The sequence below is a fragment of the Homo sapiens genome, chromosome 3 (assembly GCF_000001405.40).
Source record: "Homo sapiens chromosome 3, GRCh38.p14 Primary Assembly".
Taxonomy (NCBI): domain Eukaryota; kingdom Metazoa; phylum Chordata; class Mammalia; order Primates; family Hominidae; genus Homo; species Homo sapiens.
The window spans coordinates 67,931,815-67,947,919 of NC_000003.12; the positions used below are offsets into that span (position 1 = coordinate 67,931,815).

The following is a 16,105-nucleotide window of genomic DNA, read 5'->3' on the forward strand; positions in this document are numbered from 1 at the left end:
ATCCAAAAAAATTGAAAAAAGTGACATAAAGAGATATTTTTATACTCACATTTATAGCAGCATTATTCACAATAGCTAAAAGGTAGTATTAATCCAAATGTCCATTGTTGGATAAATGGATAAACAACATGTGGTAAATATGTACAATGAAATATTATTCAGCCTTAAAATTAAGGAAATTTGGACACATGCTACAACATGGAAGAACTTTGAAAACATTATGCTAAGTGTAATAAACCAGACCAAAAAGGACAAATATTGTATGATTTCACTTATGTGAAGTACCTAGAATTGTCAAATTTGTAGAGATAGAAAGTAGAAAGGTAGTTTCCAGGGGTTCAGGAAAAGGAATCAGGAGTTATTGTTTAATGGGTAAAGTTTTAGTTTGGAAATATGACAAAGTTGTTCTAGAGATGGATGGTGGTGACTGCTGCACAACAGCATAAATGTACTTAGTGCTACTAAACTGTACACTTAAAAGGATTAAAATGGTAAATTTTATGTATTCTGTATCATCATATAAATTATTTAAAAACTAGAAAACATTTTAATAGCAAAAAATGAAAGAAAAGCATATTAGATTTTGTGGATTGTGGCTAATCAGTGTTCAGCAGCACTTTTATAGATTTAAATGCTTGTGTTTAAAAGGTGAAACATCTCAAATCAAGATCTAAGCTTGCACCATAGGAAGCTAGCAAAAACCAGCAAACTAATTAAGTAGAAGAAATGAATTAATAAAAATAAGAGCATAAATCCATAACAGGAAACTTTATGAAAAATTTTATGCCAATAAATTTGACACTTTAGATGAAATGGACAAATATCTTGAAAAACAACTCACCAAAATAGCCTCAAGAAGAAATAGAGCACTTAGATAACCCTATATCCATTAAAAACATTAAATTGGTAATTTAAAAATGTTCTGAGAAAGAAAACGATAGGACATGGTGGCTTCACTAGTGAAGTCTATCAAATATTTAATGAAGAAAGTGTAACAATCTTACAAAAACTGTTTCAGAAAATAGAAGAGGGTTCACTTCCCAACAGATTTTACGAGGCCAGTATTACACTGATACCAAAACCAGATTAAGATATTCCCAAAATTGAAAACTACAGACCAACAGCTCTCATGAATATAGATGAAAACATTCTTAATATTAGCAAATCAAATTCAACATTATATAAAAAGAATAGTTCATCACATACAAGAGGCTTTAATCTCAAGAATTGAAGATTTGCTTAATATTCAAATATCACTCAATGCAATTCATCATATTAATTGAATAAAGAAGAAAAATTCTTTGGCCATCTTGATAGCAGTAGAAAAAAATTCTTAAAAATTAACACTTATTCATGATAAAAATTTCAGGTAACTAGCATTTAAAAATACCTTCCCAGCTTGATAAAGGCTTCTATAAAAGATTCACAGTAAACATAATACTTAGTAAAAGACTAAATTTGTTATACCAAAAATATGGAATAATGAAGAATGTCTGCTTTCACCATTTCAATTCAGTATTGTTCTAGAGGTCTAAATCAGTCCAATAAGGGAAGAAAAATAATAAGATTGTACAAAAGGAGAAAAACTATCTCTATTTGCAGATGATATTGTCATATATGTAGAAAATCCTAAGGAATATATTTAAAAAGCTATTAGTGCCTTCACAAGGCATGAAGGCAATATACAAAAAAAGGACTGCATTTCTAAGAACAGTAATGAACAACTGGAAAATGGAATTAAAAATACAATTGCATTGACAATGGAACCTGAAATAAGTATAGCCCTTAGAAATAAATTTAACAAAGATATGTGAGACCTGTATAGTAATTATTACAAAACAGTGCTGAGATAAATTAAAGAAGACCTAAATAAGTGAAGAAAGATGCCATGTTTGCTGTCTGAAGTCTCCATATTGTTAACATGTCCATTATCCAATGAACATATAAATCCAATGCAATTCCCACAAAAATCCACATATGGAAATACAAGATATCTGGAATTGCCAAAATAATTGTGAGAAGGAAGAAAGTTGAAGGGCTTACAGTAACTGACCTGAATCTACAGTGAACAAAACAATGTGGTTTTGTTTAAAACAGTATTCCCCAACCTTTTTGACCCAAGGAACCAGTTTCAAGGTAGACAATTTTTCCACAGATGGGTTGGGATGGGGTGGGACTCAAGCATATTGCATTTATTGTGCACTTTATTTCTATTATTATTACATACTCACCATAATATAGAATCAGTGGGAGTCCTGAGCTTGTGTTCCTGCAACTAGTCGGTCCCATCTAGCAGTGATGGGAGACAGTGGCAGATCATCACGCATTAGATTCTCATAAAGAGCATGCAGTCTAGATCCCTCTCATGCACAGTTCACAATAGGGTCCATGATCCTATGAGAATCTAATGCCACCACCCATCTGACAGGAGGCAGAGCTCAGCTTCGCTCACTCTCCTGTCACTCACCTCCTACTGTGTGGCCTGGTTTCTAACAGGCCACAGACCAAAACTAGTCTGTAGGCCATGGGTTGGGGACCCCTGGTTTAAAAGATAGACAAAGAAATCAGAGGAATAGAATAGAATCCAGAGATAGATCCATACATGGTCAACTGATTTTCAACCAAGATGCCACATTAGTTCAATGGGAAAAGGAGTCTTTGTAACATACAGCCTTGGTACATTTGATACAATAGACAAAATAATTCCTCCACCCCCACCCCAAAGATGTCCAGATTCTAATTCTCAGAACCTGTGAATGTGTTTGGATACATGGCAAAGAGGAATTAAGTTTGCAAATCCAATTGTTAACTTTAAAATAGGAAGATAAACTGGGTTATCCAGGTGGGCCCACTGTAATCACAAGTGTTTTTGAGAGGAGAGAGGCAGAAAAGAACCAGAGAGATGGTAGAGGAGAATAACTGGTCCAATGTTGCAGGCTTTAAAGATGGAGAAAGAGGCCATGAGTTACAGAATATGAGTTGCCTCGGGAAGATAGAAAGGGCAAATATATGAATTCCTCCCTAGGTCTCCAGAAAGAGATGTAGCCTTGCTGACAACTTGGACTTCTAACTTATAGAATTGCACAATAATATATTTGTGTTGTTTTAAAACTGTAAGTTTGTGTTAATTTTCTATAGCTGCCATAGAAAAGTAATATAATTAAGTATCTCTCTGGGGTGAAATACAGAAGCATCTCAACCCTGATATTTATATAATTTACAAATTAAATGGAAATAAATTGTAAACCTAAATGTAAAACCTAAAACCATAAAACATCTGTATAAAACCAGGAAAAAAACCCATTGTGTTCTTGGTATAACCAAGGATTTCTTAAGTATGATACAAAAAGCATTAACCAGAAAAGAAAAAAAATTATAAATTGGACTTTATCAAAGTTAAAAACCATTTATTTTTGAAAGACTCTTAAGAAAAAGGTAATTGACAGATCAGTAAAAAATATTTGCAAAACCATATATCTGACTAAGAACTTGTATCCAGAATTTGTGAAAAACTTTTACAACTCAATAAGAAAACATGTAACAATTAAGAATGTGCAAAAATTTGAACAGACACTTCACTGAGGAAGATACATGATGGCAAATAAGCATATTGTATGTGTCCCATCCTGCTGGTCATCAGCAAAATGAAAATTAAATTCACAAACAAGCACTGGATATCCACTAAAATGGCTGAAATTGAAAAGACTCACTATACTAAGTGTTGGCAAGTATGTAAAGCCAATGGAAGTCTCATTCATTGCTGATAGAAATGAGAAAATGTTATAGCCACTTTGGAAGACAGATTGGCAGTTTTTTATAAAGTTAAACTTGTACTTGTTTTTATGACTCATCATGGGTTCCTTTCCTGGTTTATTATCTACCCAAGGAAAATGAACATGCATGGGATTAACTGCGGGGGATTAACTGCTCAACTGATACTGTCTACCTTAGATTTGTAATGCTGCAGTGAATATTCAAAGCGGCATTATTTGTAAAATCCAAAAATTAGAATAAGCCAAAGTTTTCATCAGCTGATGAATGGATAAGGAAAATGTGGTATATCCAAACAATAAAACACTATTAAACAGCAAAAAGGAGCAAACCACTTAAACATGCACCAACATAGATGACTCTCAATAGATACTTCATTGTTATACTGAGCAATAGAACATAAATCCAAAAGATTGTGTATTATATGTTTCCATTCATATGAAATTCTAGAAAAGGGAAAACTATAGTGACAGGAAGCATATTGGTGGTTGTCCAGGAGAGATGAGGGAATTTACTGCAAAGCGGCAAGAGAAAACTGAGATGAGAGAAACGTCTGTCTTATGTGGTGGTAGTTACAAGGCTGTATACTTTGGGCAAAACACATCAAGCTGTGCACTTAAAATAGAATTTGCATTTATTTTATGAAAATTATACTTTAATGAATATCTTAAACCATTAAAATATAATGTCCCTATAGCATTTGTCATGCTTATGCTAACAGTAATTAACATTAATAATGAATAACATTTACTGAGTTCCTACTAGTGGATTTGTACTTACTGAACTTACATTTTTAAATTATGAAACTCTGTGAATCTCAGTTGCTTTATGGCAGTATTGAAAATAAACAGGAAGGCCTGGCCTGATGGCTCATGCCTGTAATACCAACACTTTGGGAGGTTGAGGTGAGAGGATTGCTTGAGCCCAGGAGTTCAAGACCAGCCTGGGCAATATAGAGAATCCTCATCTCTACAATTTTTTTAAAAAAATCAGCAAGGGGTGGAGGCACATTCCTGTAGTCCCAGCTACACGGGAGGTTGAGGTGGGAGGATCGCTTGAGCCTAGGAGCTTCAGGCTGCAGTGAGCTATGATCATGCCACTGCACTCCAGCCTGAGCAAGAGTGAGAACCTGTCTCAAAAAGAAACAAAAGAAAAAGCAGAATTGGTTATTTGAAATACATCAACTAGTATGGCACAGGAACCAATTAACTGAAACGCACATTGGCCAGTTAGAAAGGTCTTGGTGTAAATAGCTGGTATAGGTGAATAGGTACACAATTTCACATCATTCCTAGAAATAATAACAATCATGTCTACCTCAATATTGCCATAGAATTAAATGAAAGGAGGCATGTGACATGCTTAGCACAGTGCTTGACACATAACTATCCCTGAATACAAGGAAGTTGTTACCCTGCATGAAATCTGAGCTTTCTCCATGGGAAAATCATGATAGTAGCAGTCAAATGTTGTTTCTACCTGTTCAACATAATCTTCCCCTTTCTTCACGTAAGAAAACATTTTATTTTTCCTTTGGGTAACTGCCGTGGTGTCCTATTAAGCAGTTAATCCCGTGGGGGCACTCAGGGAGAGCCCCTCAGGTTCTTTGATTTTGTTACTATAATTCATAACTAATTTTATATTCTGTCTCTTATATTCCTATATTAAATAATTAGGTGTCTAAATCTGATTGTTTGCTTGCTTTTGCTGACTCTCTCACCCATGGTGGTTTGTGGGCTCCTACTGGTTGACCTTAATGCATTGGAAACCTAGGGGGTTACACCGGGGATAATTTCCACCATGGGGGATTTGCTTTTGCATTTGCTAAGGGCCAGGGGATATTAGCCTGGGACAACTTTAAACCCTTCGGGGGCCACAGGCTAAATCTAGGAATCTCAGGTTCTGCTCATCTAATCATCTCTGATAGTCATGTTCTCCTGAAATCTAGACATAGACAATATTCAAGCGTATGCATACATAACCTCTGACAGTGTATCAGATGTCTCTTATACAGCACTTTATATAACCTCTTTGTGCCATCTCTCACTCTAGCCACTGATGCAATGATGGCCTCTTCCAAGTTTTGACCAGCTTTGTGCTGGTACAACCTTATGTGTTCTTTGACCTCTAGGCTGCAGTGATTAGGTAAGAAAGGGCCCTCAATCCAAGTCAGGCCAATTAGAATTTTATCTGAGATTTGGTAGCTCATCAATAAAGGTGCATATTTGAGGTTACTTGTTGCTATCTTCTGAGCCTTCTGGAAACATGAGCCTGAGAATGAAGCCCACATACTATCAGAAGAAATAAAAGCTAAGTGAGGCAGAGTGCTAGGGACATTGTTTATGCTTCTGAGTCAGATGAACTTGTGACCTTCTAGTTTTATGAGTGAATAAAATATCTCCTCCCACCCCTTTTACCTAAACTAGTTTGATTTGGGTTTCCACCATTTGTAACCAAAAGAATTCACTGTTTCAGACATTGCTTTCACCAAGAATCTTTCTTCATGCACACAATTGTATTTATCTCTTATGGCTTGTATTTTCTTATGCATTTGAAACATTAGTTCTCATGATTCATTAATAATAGTAAATTTTGAATATTGTGTGATAAACCGATTGAAAAGAAAATGTTCTTAGGCCATTGTATACAAGGCTATCTGATATTTCTGACATTTTGGCTCTTTGAGGCAGTTTGCATTTGAACTGGTGATAGGCAATGCATGTATCTTTGGTCAGTCCTTTGAAACAAATCATGACAACTTTTGGAGAGTTTTAAATATCTATTCAGACTTAGCCACAGCATGTTGATAGTTCTTTATCTGAAGGTAAAATAAAAACTTTTATGTTTCTTATTATTTTTAAAAATTTTATTTATTTTGGATTCAGGGGTACATGTGCAGTGTTACATGTATATATTGTTTAATGGTGAGGTTTGGACTTCTAGTGTACCCATCACCCCAAAAGTGACCATTGTACTCAATAGATAGTTCCAAATACAGCATAGCTGGCACTCATGATACTTACAACATTTCATTTGTGGATTATTTTAAAATTCGTATTCATGAACATCCTGATAATCCTCCCTCTCCCTCTAGAAAGCTTTGGCTTTTGAATCTTGGTTCCACTACTTCCTGGCAGTAAGACCCTGAGCAAGTTTCCAGATAACTCTGGGTAGGTTCCTTGTCTCAAAAATAAAGGTGATGATTGTACCTATTTTGCAAAAGGTTGTAAGGATTAAATGAATAAATGAAGTAATGTGTTCAAAAGGCTTAGAACAGTGTCTGAAACCTAGCTAATTCTAGAGAAGGCTTTGCTGTTGTTATTATTAAAATCCATTTTTCTTCTTGAAGCTGTGTTTTGATAGGCTGAGGAAGGGTTTGTAAGACATAGGTATAAAAATTTTTAACAGCCATTGTCATTAATGACTAGATTAAGAAATTAATTAAATGAAATAGATAAGAAATTTTACTTATATGTATAACAAAGTTATTCATTTCAAATGCATTTTCCATACCAAGTGTTTTGCCTAGAGTAGGGACTCAATATTGGTCAAATGAAATTGACTCCCAGTAGTTTACAATCAAAGCATACACAATAACTTTGTTTCCTTTATGACAGTGGCAAGTTCACATTGTCATAGGTGACTTGCTTAGCTAGTTGTAGTTATATCATCTGTGAGAAAAACCTTAACAACAATAACGATAAAAAAACATTTTAGCCATAAAATGAAAGCCTTTCTACAATGGATTGTGGCTTTCTCCACCATCTTAAGTTGCAGTTTGAACAGAATTTCATGTTCTGTATAAGATGCCTAGGGGTTATCCTTTTTACTGTTATCGAACCATGTGGGAAACAGAGGTATCTTGAGGTACCTTTGCTGATTCAAGAGGAGTATGCTTTTTGAATACTTGCATACAATGCTATGTTATTTTTCTATACTTTGCCTCAGTATTAGACAGCACTTCTTTCAGGAAGCGTGCCTTAAGAGCTTTCTTTCTATTTATAATTTATTTGTTAATAATATTCACAGGAAAATGAAATAGGTAACATTGTTAAAAGTATGTCTAAGATAAAAGTAAATAAGTCATTAGTGAGTACACTTTCCTAAGACTTAAATACCTTAGCTGGTGATGTTTACACATGTCGGTGCCTCAGGACTCTGTTTGGGGTCTTATTTAACCCAATCTCTCATCCCAGTTGAATTCCACATATGAATTTGCTTGAAAAAGTTCCCCATGTGAATGAATGATCATTATAAAGTGCTCTGGTAATTCCATGAGCTCAACTGGTGGTCTTTATTCAATGTTAGTTTTTCTAATGGGTGATTTAGGTAATATGACTTTTCTTTGGTTATGTAACATATTATTAGGAAAACATTAGGATTTAAGGGTAAAACTTCCTAAATAATATTCTCAATATACCACTTGCATAAGTAGTGGATTTTTCAATAGTATAAAAATTAAATTTTTGATCAGAATTGTCTAAGTGTTATGGTCTTTGCTAAATATCTGATAGATGCCTAAATTTGCATTTACATCTTGCTAAATGTGTAAAATAGTACATACATAGTGACTTAAAGCCAAGTCAGGATTTGGCATAAAAGCTTTACTAGGCCCTTCTGTAAGAGGTGATAAGAGACACTGAGAAAAAAAAAATTGAATACATCGCTTGTAGTCAACTATACACTCAGAAATTGAATCTCCCTTACAATGAAGTACAGTAAGTCATGATTTAAAATAACAAATTAGGAAGTTCAGTGTCACTAACAACATACAGACATGATACAGAGCTTCCTAATTTCTTTCTCAATATTTGGGTTCTAGGCAACAGCTGTGGGGGTTATAGTGGCATTTCCCTAAATGCTAGTATGATTTCAGAAGAGACTTCCACAATATGGAGAAGTCACAATTTTCATCATTAGTTTAAACTAAGGCACCTTATCTCACTTCCTCTAAGTCACATAATTCTCATTTTATGTTAATAGAAGTTAAACCTAATTATCAAGGGGAGAGTAGATTTCTAAGTTATAGTTTCTTCTTGAAGAGTTATGAGTGTAACCTCCATTAACACTAGGCCATGTTAAAAAGGCAACTCTTTGAATGTTGGGATAAAAATACATCCCTCTAGTGGAGGGTTATATTTTATCTGTAACTGAGTAATTTGGACTCAAGTGACCTACATTGAGAAATAGGTTTAATAGTGAAAAGACTGTGGATTGATGGATCCCTGCCAGGCAGGAACTGAAAGTTCAGAGCATTAGCAGTAGCTGACAGAATATAGGACATGATGTTATTCCCAAAATTATCAGGAAGAGAAAATATAATAGAGAGGAAAAAATAGTGTGAGACGATTTCTACTCCCACCTCCCCGGATGTTCAAGCTAATGTTTCCTTAGATGAAGTTTTTGCATCAGATTTCACTTTTCAAAAAGTTCAGCCTTTTACAGACTCTCTCCCAGTGAGAAATAAACCGAAAGCTTTTGTTTATTTTTGTAGTGATCACTGTGTCCTCACTATATAATTCTCTGAAGCCCACTTGTTGGTATTCTAAGAAAATTTGCTGCCTCATATGAGATAAAACTAGCATACATGGTAATCTTCCAATATAAAGTTAAGAATGTGTCCTAGTCATCTTGCAAGCTAAGTGTCTCTAATAGCATTGCTTCTCCATGGAAACACTACTTTTGGGAGTAGGCTATCTTGGTTCTCTTCCTCTCTCCCTCCCTCCTCCTCCCCTCAACCTGCCTTTTTCCCCCTCTCCTTCCTCCTTTTCTTCCTTTTCTTCTGCCTCCCCCCCTTCTTCCTCCCACGTTAGTTCCCGTAACATTGCTGAAAAAAAATCTGTCCCAGATTTTAAGCACTTTGAAATTCTTATGTTAGGAAATGTATCCTGAATTTAATCTGATTATTAAAAAAGAACTGCAGATTTAATTTCTTATAATAACTTGCTACTATGTTATTGACTTTATATCTTCAGGATGTAGCTAAAGTCATCTAAAGTAGGTGGTATAGATGAAAAGAATAAAAAAACCAAAACCAAAACCAAACCAAACCCAAGCCATGTCTCTTCAATACATAATACAGACTAGAAACTGTTTCAGAAATTTAGAAACTACATCACTGATTTGTTTTTCTGTACTAGATGCTAAAAGGAATTTAGATGTGCTTGTGGTGCATCATTCTATTTTTAAAGGTGATTTCATGATGGGCAATCGTCGAGCCACAAATGTTCCTCTGAAAGATGCAGAATCCTGAGTTGGATAAACTTGGCTTCTGAGTAAGTGTGGCCTTGTTCTTTGAACACAGTACTTGCATCTGTAAGATCCCTGCCTGCATGATCTAATTATTTCTGGGCTTGGGGTCTATAAACCAGACATTCTGACACTTGGTTGCTGCTTTTCTCAGCATTTGGTTTTCTTTTAAGGTTGTAAATTGATCCCCCACGTAAGACAGTCTTAGGCAATACATGACTTCTTATTAAATAATGACTAATATCATTAAGACAATAAAATATTTCCATAAACAAATAATTAAACCCTTATAAGACCTAGGTCCAAATTGAAGTCCCATTCTCTCAGCCCTTTCAGGTTTTGGGACTGATTTTTTATTTAAATCAGTGACGACTGCAGGCTTAAGCATGTACTATAGGTCCATTAAACGTTGCTTCAAAGAGAGAGGGAAAGAAATGGCCTCTAATGATCCCCAACTTTCTGGCAATCATACCCTGTCAGTGAAAGGAATAAAAAAGTACTGAAAAGTGAATAGAAAATGTGAAGCTTTTAACAGTCTTCTATTTACTGGAGGACTGGCCGTTACCGTCACTCAACCATTAACCCCCGTATGCCTTGGCCTGGGAACATCTCATTTCAAATCTCTCTGCTTTAAAATCTATACATACCGATAATGAGTTCCAAGACAAACTGTAAAGTGCAAAGCATCAAGGAGGGGAGCAGGTAAACATACATGCAAATACACATGCATGTACAATATATATACAAAACAAATGGAGCATCTCTGGAAGCATACGTAACACACTGGCAATGATGACACTGCCTTTAAAATGGAACAGCGAAAGAAGATAAACTTAATTTTTCGGTATTTTTTTTTGTTTTTTGAGTTGGAGTCTCGCTCTGTCCCCCAGTCTGGAATGCAGTGGTGCCATCTCGGCTCACTGCAACCTATGCTTCTTGGGTTCAAGTGATTCTTCTGCCTCAGCCTCCCGAGTAGCTGGGACTACAGGCACATACCACCATGCCCAGCTAATTTTTTTGTATTTTTAGTAGAGATGGGGTTTCACCATATTGGCCAGGCTGGTCTCAAACTCCTGACCTCATGATCCGCCCACCTTGGCCTCCCAAAGTGCTGGGATTACAGGCATGAGGCACCGCACCCAACCTATATGTTCCTTTTTACCTATTTAAATTTTAAAAAGATTAAAAGTACCTACTCCTGTGTAACTATTCATAATTCTAAGCTGGTATTTAAAGTTGATCTTCTCAATTAGGTATTTCCTAATTGTGCATCAAGTTTGAAAGAAGATGCATACTCTACTACGTTGGCCAGAATCTCTGATACACATGTTGGTTAAATAATTTATTTATAATGCAACAGATGGAAAATGACCAGACTATGCTGGTGATTAGGGTCTAAGTCTTTTTTATTGTAGGGTCATGGATACTCTGTTATGAAAGAGGTGAATCAATGGGACACATTTTTATATACCCAACCCCTGGGTTTGTGCACATATGTGTCTTTGTGGAATATTATGGAATGTCTGAACATATTACATAATGTGTAGGAATACTACAATGTGTCTGAACCACATGTTGCAATTAATGCTCTAGGGTTAAATAAAAATTTTGAATGGATTAGAAAATAGGCAGTCTCTATCAGATAGGTATGGTTGAGTAAAAATTCACTCAAAATATGTTGACTTAAAATAACAATTGTGTATTTGGCTTATGATTCTGCTGGGCAGTACTAGTGTGTCTTCCTTGTGTGTCTGTGGTCAGCTGTGAGTGACCACAGTAGAGCTGTAGGCTGGCTTTGGTGGCTTTGCTAATCAATGTGGGTCTGGCAGGTGTCTGGGACCTCAACTGGCATAAGTAGGCTGACTGGCCTCTGACCCACATTGTATCTCTTCCTCCGGCAGGCTAGCCCAAAGTTATGCTCATGACTGAGGCAGAGTCCCCAGAGACCAAGTGAGAGCCCACATGGCTTCTGGAGGCCTAAATCTGGAATAGGCACTCAGCCCCTTTTGCTGAGTTCAGTTGGCCAAGCATTCCATAGCCAGCAATCATCCAGTGGCCTAAGAAATACACCTCACCTCTTGATGGAGGGCCATCAAAGCCATATTGCCAGGGGAGTGGAAAGGGAACCACAGTGTCCACATGGTCTTGAGCTTTGGGAAAAGGATGCTGAGTGAGGTGGATACTACATATTTTTAAAATTTTTAAAAATTTTCCACACAGTTTGAAAAAGTGTAATTAATTTTAAACTTTGCTTTGGTACTGTGTCATAATTTTATATCTTTTATTTATTTTCACATTCTTCTACCACAATAATAATAGCTGTTACTTACTGAGCACTCACAACATGCTGGATACTATGCTGCCCAGGAGGTGTTTTAGATACATTTACATTTTGCCATTACAATGTAAGGTAGATATTCCGATTTTTCAGAAGAGTAAACTAAAAATTTTATGAATTCAATTATGAGCGCACTACATTGGGGTCAGGGATGGGGACTGAGCGAAAGCAAAAGGGAAAATAATTTAAATAATAAGGGCAGTCCAACCAGCCACTCTACCCAGTGAGTGTACGTCCTACAGGAACTCTGAGTTGGACTCCATGACTTTGCTGTTACCTCAGTTAATTACAGCTCCCACGTGCTTCTGAGGCTGGTGTGATTCTGATATTTTTGTTTCCTTTTATTAATATAATTGTAAATACCAGCTAGTTCCTTTATCTCATCTTCAATCAGAGAAAAAGTGATCAAATTAGTGTTAAAGCAAAAACCATCTATCTTGTACAGACTATGAGTTGTAGTTCAGTCTCTGGTGTACCACATCACTGGGGAATTTTCAAGGATAATTTTGACGCTATGTATTTTTCCTTTTAAGAGCTAAGGAAACTTCAGTAGGATACAAATTCAGTTAACTATGTTGTATTTTCTGGAAGGGGGATTTTAATGTTTGTGTAATAAAATGCCTTTCTAAAGTGGGGTATAAAATATTTATTTTGCAATCTTCAGGTGTACTAATCTGGTTAAACACATCAGAAAAATAAGTGACGTTACTATGACGGTGTCTACTGCAATGCCATTTTGTGGAAGAACTAGACTCCGCATTATGTTTTATGAATGAATCACTAGTTAATTAAAAAATGTTCTGCAGGGAAGATGATAGTTTTGTTATTAAGAATTCTTTGCTGTTGATTGTTATAAAGTTAATGTGGAAAACAGTATATAAATTGAAGTGAGCAAACAAAATTATCTTATCCGAAGCATTCTGCTTTTATTTTTTATGGTTTAAATTTTATTAAAATATAATTTACATGGAGAAATGTGCACATGAAAGTGGACCATTCAATATGTTTTCACAAACTGAATACAACTGTGTGACTAGCACTCACAAACAAGCATCTTAGAAGCCCACTCCTGCTCCCTTCCAGACACAAATCTCCCTACTCCCCAGAGTAACCACTATTTGGGCTTTTTAATTGTATAGATTAATTTTGCCTGTATTGTATTTCATAGAATAGAATCCTATATAGTATGTACTTCCTGTGTGTGTCTGAGGTCTTTCATTTAGCATTAAGTTTCAAAGATTGGTCCACCAGACTACATGTCATTGCAGATGGTTCATTTGCATTGCTGATGAGTGAATATACCACCATTCATCCACTAAACTGGGATGAGCATTTGGGTAGTTCCTAGTATGGGGCTGTATTGGGCCATTTTTGCATTGCTATAAACAGATACCTGAGACTGGGTAATTTATAAAGAAAAGAGTTTTAATTGACTTGTGGTTCTGCAGGCTTTACAAGAGGCATGGTGCTGGCATCTGCTTGGCTTCTAGGGAGGCCTCAGGAAGCTTACAATCATGGTGGAAGACAAAGGGGGAGCAGGCAATCTCACATAGCCGAGCAGGAGCAAGGGAAAGAGAGAGTGTATGTGTGGAGGGATGCCACACACTTTTAAATGACCATATCTCCTGTGAACTCAGAGCAGGAGCTCATTTATCACCAAGGGAATAGTCCAAGCCATTCATGAGGGATTCACCCTCATGATCCAAACACCTGCCACTATGCCTCACCTCCAACACTGGGGATTACATTTCATAAATACTTTAATACATCTTTTTATGAACACATATCATATTTCTGTTGTGAATTTATCTAAGAATGGACTTTTGGTTTATGGAGTGTGCATGTTTACATCTTTGGTGAGAAACATCACTTCTCAAAAGTGGTTGCCAATTCACTGCCATTAGAAGTATTTGAGAGCTCCTAGTACTTGGTATTTTTCTTCTTTTTTATCTTAACTAGTATGGTTTCCTCTTACCTAAAACATTGTAATTATTGAAGTTTCCTGTACTAAATATATATAATCTCAATGTTTCAGGTTAACAACTCTAAGAAGACAATTATTAAAAGACACCTCTGATGATTCCAGGGAAGATATTACTCTTAAAACTATCACAGTAAACTCACCTTCATGAAAATATGACACAGAATAATTGAAATTTAAGTTAAAAGTGATGGTAGCTGGTTTGTATGTATCTTTTGGTCTTCTTTATCTTTTAAAACCATTAGTAATGACTAATGTGTACTGTACACTCATTTAAAAAGACTCATTTAAAAAGACTCAATGCAAGACAATCTTTTTTTTTCCCTCATTTTGTCCAGTGACTTTAGTTTTCTTTCCTAACTATGACCAAGGTCTCAAGTTAGAAAACAGTATTTTCAAAGCAGTCTTGTGCATTACAATCCTGTGACACAATTCTATGCAGAAGAAATGCCTGTGGTTTTATTATCTTAGCATATGCCTCAAAGAAGATGCCCATCTGTACATGCAAGTTTCCCTTTTGCATCTGAAAAGATAAAATGTCTCTCAAAATAGTAACTCTCTCAAGGGCATGTAATTTTTGGAGAATTGAAGGTTTCATCAGTATTTTGTTTGGGAGCTATGACTTATAAAGTCAGTAATAGAATTCTTGTGAATTGCTTAACTAAATTAGGAATCTAAAAGTTAAAATTACAGAAACTATAGGAAGGCTCTCCTCAAAGTCAATAGTGGTATGACTTTAAAGTTACCGTTTCTCAGTTGTAAGTATTGTGTTGCAATACAAAAGGCTTTATCAATCAAGGATATAGTCATTTTCAGATAATATCAACTGTTTTGACTTTATTGTGTGAGTTACTTTAACATTAATGCACAGATTAACTACTACTTGTTTCAGTTATTCGTTTAAAATAAGTCTTATGAAAAGAGACTTTATATGCAGGTCATGACCATTCTGAGGTGTATTTTTTATTTATTTATTTATTTATTTAGAGATGAAGTCTTGCTCTGTCACCAGGCTGGAGTGCAGTGGTGTGATCTCGGCTCAATGCAACCTCCGCCTCCCAGGTTCAAGTGATTCCCCTGCCTCAGTGTCCTGTGTAGCTGGGACTACAGGAGTGTGCCACCACACCCAACTATTTTTTTTATTGTATTTTAGTAGAGACAGGGTTTCACCATGTTGGCCAGAATGGTCTCAATCTCCTGACCTCGTGATCCACCCACCTTGGCCTCTCAAAATGCTGGGATTACAGGCATGAGCCACTGTGCCTGGCTGTGTAATCTTATGGGTGAATAGCGACTGATATGAACAGAATATCTTTGAAATTTGTAAGCCAAACTTGCAACTTTGAGGGAGATAAAGAAACAATTTACCAAACAATATGGAAAACACTGAAATCCCCAAAGAAAGGGAAAATTAAATGTGGCTTTTACTAGGAATTTACCATATTAACATCCTACCTGGCACATGATAAGTGCCCAATGAATGATAACCAAAAGAAAAAAACCATAATGTTAAGTGTGGTTACTGGCTCTATTTTACAAATAAAGATGTTGAAACTCAAAGGGATTAGAATAAGTAATTTGTTCAAATCATACAGCTGATATGTTTGAGAGGTAGGATTCGAGAGACAGGATTCAAACTTATTAAACAAGACTTGTCAAGTGCTTCCAAGATGGCCAAACAGGAACAGCTCCAGTCTGCAGCTCCCAGCGAGATTGACACAGAAGATGGGTGATTTCTGCATTTCCAACTGAGATACCTCGTTCAT

General features: G+C 35.9%; 1 long non-coding RNA gene across 1 annotated transcript in view; it reads left to right on the forward strand.

Moving 5' to 3' along the window:
• SUCLG2-DT (SUCLG2 divergent transcript) overlaps window positions 1–15,899 on the forward strand; it is a 293,017-nt gene extending 277,118 nt beyond the window's left edge. The window contains exon 7 of the long non-coding RNA NR_109992.1: window positions 15,327–15,899. This is a non-coding gene — a long non-coding RNA (SUCLG2 divergent transcript). The remainder of the gene's footprint in view (window positions 1–15,326) is intronic.
• The last annotated feature ends 206 nt before the right edge of the window (window positions 15,900–16,105 follow it).